General features: G+C 38.5%; 1 annotated feature.

Annotated features, from left to right (window-relative positions):
• Positions 5,350 to 5,469: a silencer, noted in NCBI's record as "silent region_1829". NCBI's record gives its function as "represses an Ori minimal core promoter by ATAC-STARR-seq in GM12878 lymphoblastoid cells {active_cell/tissue: GM12878}" and the evidence as "EXISTENCE:reporter gene assay evidence [ECO:0000049][PMID:35858748]".

Raw genomic sequence — 6,295 nt, 5'->3', positions numbered from 1 at the left:
TTATATTTCTACTTACTATATGCTAAAAGCAACTAAATGGAACTCAGTTTATTCTTGTTTGTTTGGAGGTTTATGTTGTGTGAGAAGGGGTCATGAACAATTATTTCCACTGACTTTCTGAGATAACTATGTCATAGACAGCATAAACAAGATATATTCTGTTACCTGATTCTTTGAGGTATATTCATTGACCATGTTGAAAATTGTATTGCTGATCAGAATCAGAGAAGAAGCTCCAGGAATAAGAAGTGATGTGATTTCTACTCTTTTCCAGGTTTTTGTTACATTGAAAGAACTTGAAGCCCTAAGTCTCTTCTTTGTCATTTTTTATGGTTTTTTATTTCCTATAGATATTTTTGAACTTTTTGTTTATTATTTTGAACTTGATGATATTACTTGTTTTATAATCTATGCCTAATAATCCCAAATATGATATCTGGGCTGACCTATTTCTGCTGTTGTCTGTTGTTTTTGCTAGTTATCACTCATGTCACCTTGTTTGCTTTGGTGTCTAGTTATCTTTGAACACGTGCTGATCATTGTCCCTGAAAAATAACCTGCAACCTAGGATGAGTAATTCTTTGCACCACAGAGCATTTGTATTTGCTTTCTGCCAGGCATCTAGTATACTACTATGCATGCACTATCTCAAACCAAGGCTTGAGATCTACGCTCACCCAGATTATATATGTCCAGGCTACAAATCTGTACCAGTCTGTAGCTATCTCAGAGATAGGGATTTCTGTTTTAAATTTTTCCCTCACATCCTTCTCTTCTACTGCTGTGCTCAGCATGGATAAACTTTCTTCTACACACCTTAAAATTAAGGGGAAAAGAGTGAGTTTAGTCCTCGTTCAGCCCTAAGTCTGTAGCTCTTTGAGTGCCAACTTAATTAGGGAGAATATCCCATAAAGCTCTCCAACTTCAACATGACTTGGGTCTTGACTTTTGTCCCTCTTACTCCACTGAGCCACTAACCCAAATCTAAATGTGTTGCATGGACAAATAGCATAAGGGCATAAGAAGCCTGTATATGCCAATATTCTAGCTACCTGTCTGGATACAGACTTTCACCCATAAATTGACCTGGAATTTCCTCATCATTCTTTCAGCAATTCAAAGTTAATTTTTAAATGAAATTTTTAACCAGCAATTTTTATTGCTTTTAACAAGAAAGTAGATCTGAATATCCTAGACCACAATCACCAGAAAGTTTCTAAAAGGGCATTTTCAATTTTGAAGTTACATGGGATTCATTACTACTTAAATGAATCTAAACTGCATGTCTCCTGCTATATTATTAATCTTATCAAATAGCTTTTTGGTGTACTGCACGTAAGTTCACATGAGTAGTGTACCTATTCCCTTGACTATACTAATTACAAATGATTTATGGATAAGTGGATTGGGAAAACCCAAAAAATAAATTCCAAAAAAGTTCTTGCATTTGCTACATTTTACACACTGTGTCTTCCATGATGCAATATTCAGGTCTATTGACAGATACCCTCCATATCATTTTCCAATAAGAGATATTTTTGAAGGCACAATGTGGATAGTTTGCAAAATGGCCTGTTTCTGAGTAACTTTTCTCCTCAAGGCTTTTCCCAGATTTATCTTCAGTTACATTTTTTTTATATAACCACATGGTCCACTTTGATTGGGTTGGCTGGTAATGCATTGAAATGACAGACACTATAATTTTCCTTACAAAGAAAAATCTATGCAGTTGGATGGTTTCTTTAAAAATGAACTAATTTTGATTATTTGCTAACTTTCCCAGTTCTTATGTCAGAAACAATAGTCCTTGAATAAAGAAAATGTCAAAGAGTAAAAACAAGCCAGCGCATTTAAATTGTAGAATTATTTTTAAAAAATAAGATTGGACTGGACTGCAATTTTATAACTGAACACATTTTAATTCTATCTTGCATGGGGTCACTGCACACATGATTTGAGTTCTCCTTAGAGCTTTCCCATCTCTTCCTAGGAGGCTGAAGAATTTATGGAGACAAAATAGGCAAGGACATTTCTTAGAGAATATGCAATGCAGTTCATCCAGAATGACATCTTAGAGGTTATTTTGTCCTCCCTGGTCTCATATAAGTCATACTGATGCAGTAAAATATTTGTAAAATGCATAACCAAAGTGTTGTGTTATAAAAAAAAAAATTAAGTACTTCCAGCCAGAGTCCTAATGAGACCAGTTTCAGCTTCATATCCACCATGACTAATGAAAATGCTCCTCTTGAGAAAGTATGAGATTTTAATTTTATTAGTCCTGATGCTAAAATAGTACCCTCATGTACTCATCCTTACTTTCAGTTACCTCTGTGATTATTATTTGGTAGCCCAGGATGGAGCATTTGAAAATACAGTGTTTTTCATACAGTAAACCACTCAGTTCTTTAGTCTATCTCAGTTGTAGTTTCTAACTAGGGCAGTCACAAAAAGATAGATTCCATCAATATTTCATATTAAAGAACAAGGAACTGGATTTTTTTTTTATTTACCTTCTACTGTGGAGCATTCCCAGAAAACCATGCTTTTACAGAGCGCATTAGGATCATAAATGTGTTAATGCATAAAACATCCCATTATTCTTGCTATCTCCTCCAGAGAAGGAAACAGTGATAGAGAGAGATTAATGGATGAACCAAAAGCCATCCAGGAAATTAGTAGCAGGCAGGTCTGGGATTAAACTTCTGAATTCCTGCCACCCACTGTTAAGTGGAAGTCAATAGTCCACGCAGCCTCCCCAGATTCCATTTATAGTGTTGTGGAAATGGGGGAGGGGAGGGCACTGCTAGGTAGCCTGACAGCTAGGTATGCAAATTATCAGCTAAGACACAATTGTGAAAACAATCATGGAGCCTGTTTACATTCCAAATCACTTAGAGGTTTCCTGCTGTGTCAAAGATGTCATCCCAACAAAGGAATCTGAAGCTGAAACTTGGAGAAATGCTGCGGCTATTTAAACTGCAAATCCTCCAACTACATTTCCATATCCATACAGAATGATTCTATGAATACCCTGAGAGTCATGTTAAAGTCATAAACAGAATGTAGCACAGGGAAATGGGGGCCCAGGATTACCTCAATGGCTTCTCCATTGACTTTTTTATATGATGGCGACTGATAACTCACAATGGGCTCATAGCAGTCTTTAGGTACATGGGCCAGTTCTGCTATGCAGGGAGTTATTTATGAAATAGAGAAGAGTGAAGAGACATGGAAGAGGTTAGTAGGTCTGCCTCTTTCCAGAGGAATTACCTTGAGCAAGTTACTTACCTTTTCATAACCTTGTTTTTACCATCTGTGTCTGGAATCCAAATAATTTCAGCCTTATATAATACGTTGGGTTATTGTGAAGATAAAATGAGATAGCAGGCCAGGTGCTGTGGCTCAGGCCTGTAATCCTAATACTTTGGGAGGCTGAAGTGGGATAATCCCTTGAAGCCAGGAGTTTGAGACCAGCCTAGGCAACATAGAGAGACCCTGTCTTTATAAAAAAAAAAAAAAAAAAAATTAGCCAAGGATAGTGGCACATGCCTGTAGTCCCAGCTACTTGCGAGGCTCAGGTGGGAGGATAGCTGAGCCCAGGAGTTCAAGACTGCAGTGAGATATAATGGCACCACTGCACTCCAGCCTGGGTGACACAGCAGACACTGTCTCTACAATAAATAAGTAAATAAGCAAACAAACGATTTAATTTAATTTCAATAAAGAGCAGAAGATATATTTATTTATGAAACTGAAAGCCCTAAGTCCATTAAAAATATACATAGTTGGGTATAAGAGCATGTAGAATAATTCTTCAACATTACAACCTCTTAAAGCAGATGTGCATTTGTATATCTGTTATGAACTGAATTTTTTTTAGTTTTTGGTTTCCTGCTTTTAGAGCAGCAGTATCCTTGGTGGCAGGAACACAGGCTGTGGAGCCAGAGAGACATGAGTTCAAATCCCAGTTCTGCTACTTACTTGCTATGTGCCCTGAGACTTGATTTCCTTACTTGTAAAATAGGAATGCTCATACCTAACCTAAATGGTGCTCTAAGAAAAAGTAACAGTGTATATCCAGATTTGGATCATGGTACATCATTGACACTTAAAATATGTCAACTACAATTATTATCAAAAGGAGTTATATAGAAATGCATTCACCCTGCACATACTAGCATGTCAGTGTAAGTGGTGCCTTAGATCATCATCCAGCTCAGAGTTCTGTATTCTCTTCAAGATTCTGGTTTTGATGGTCGGGTTCACTAGCCACTGGCCCCCCACGCTAGACGCACGAATGGAAATCGCCTGCAGTGGGAAATGGGAGGATTACCCTGGGGTACATCTGAGTGGATGCAGGCGAGGGGACATAGTGAGTACACCCAAACCTGAACGCTTTGAGGAATGAGCTTATGACAATACAGTAATTGCAGAACTTCCAATCTGAAGCTGTTTCTCATTAATTCATCAAGTGTATCTTAAACTCCTTTCATATACTGTGCCAGATACAGAGAAGGGTTTTTAAAAGAAGTGGCATACGTTTTTAAAGTATAAGGCATGCCATTTGCTCTCTAAAAACTCGTAATGTAGTTGGTTCAACGAGACTACCGCTCATGAAACAGCTCAGTTAGAGCCTCCTGCTAACCTTGTGAGACCAGGCAAACCATTGGACTGCTCCTTCTCTGCAGGTCAAATGAAGAGCTCAGAAAGTCATAGTTATGCTGCACTGCAGTGCACGTTAATGTTCCTCCTAGTCACTAGCTCCCTGAGGGCGTCAGCAGAATCCACATGTTCTACCACCCCACCACCTACTGGAAACATAGAATCATACGCAAGATTTCCACTTTAGGTTAATGACTAGTCAAATTAAGAGATGCTGAGAAGAGCAAATGTCATTCCAAATTGAGTTAAAGCACACAGACATGCACATACACACACACACACACACACACACACACACACACACACTTCCAGCTGCTTCTTTTAATGTGACCCAGCACACATTGGAACACTGGGGCTCAGTCCCTGTAAGCAAGAACTTTCTTTCCACTCACATAAACCAGGCACATCCCACAATTTCAATGAACCAAACGCTTGGCCTTCAAAAGACGTGACTCTCCTACATTTTCATCACATTTTAGTTATTTTCCATATCGATAGTTGAAACTGTCCTACAACTTCAGGGCTATAGCTATTTTTTTCCACCTGTCTGCTAAAATGCTCTCAATTTTCCTCCCTAGCTCTTCTTTGCATTGAATTGCGTACCTTTATCGAATGCAAAAAAAAAAAGTAAAGTTTGAAGAGACCAGAGCATTTGGGGAAGTATGATTATTTGCTAAGCCTTACATTTTAAAGTGATTAGCCAAGGTTTGAGAAATTTCTCAGAGTGACTGTCATATGGAACCAAATAAAAAACCACAGAGATATTTGTAGTTTAAATGTTCTTTAAGTAACTGCATTATTACCACAGCACCTCCGAGGCTTCCCCTTTTTGCAGATTGCACATTGTCACCACTTCCTAAATAGCTGGCCTTATTAAAACACTACAGGCTTTGGTAAAAATATCTCTTGCTTTGGATAATTTAATAACTGTGGAGGGGGAAGATCTGGTTTTGTTTCTACAAAATCCTATCTTTGGGTTTACCACCCAAAAGAAAGAAATCAATTTAAAACATGTGTTTGGAGAGTGTACTATTTGCTTAATACCATGCTTGACAGAGAGGGAGATGGAGAAAAGCTTACAAATGAGATGGCAGAGATCAGCAGCACTCTCAAAATGATATAATGAGAGTTTCAGCAATGGGGTTACTCAAAGGGTCAGAAGAAGGAGAAACTCCTAGATGCTAGTCTCCTCACCAAGCCTTTGTTCACTGTTGTTGCTTTTAGTTATCGGCTGTACCCTCAACTGTTCTAATGAAACCAAGTCATCACAATCTATAGTGGGAAAATACTTTCCATCAGCTCAGTTGCATTCTTATCCTGTCATCTTGATATTTATTGGTTTCCCACCAAGAAATCAAAGGTGGTCAGAATGCCCAGTTACGTCCCTGCTGTATCTTGATTTAGCAGCAATGGCTGTTGAAGGCCGGAGACCCAATGATGTAGGAAGAAAGGCTGATCCTTTCCCTGCCAGCTCTGTGCCCAAGTTAATGATTCCATCATGTGGGTTTGTTTCCTGGGAGAAAATATTCCTTTTGGAAGGGGAGGGAGGATGAGTGCAGTCTGACTTCATGGCAGAGCATTTTGCAGTATGCTTTTTTTTCCCTTACTGCTAATTCCTGACCTCAGCAGA

Source organism: Homo sapiens, chromosome 1 (assembly GCF_000001405.40).
Source record: "Homo sapiens chromosome 1, GRCh38.p14 Primary Assembly".
Lineage (NCBI taxonomy): Eukaryota > Metazoa > Chordata > Mammalia > Primates > Hominidae > Homo > Homo sapiens.
Note: the sequence above shows the minus strand (reverse complement) of the source record. Positions and strands in the feature narration are given on the sequence as shown.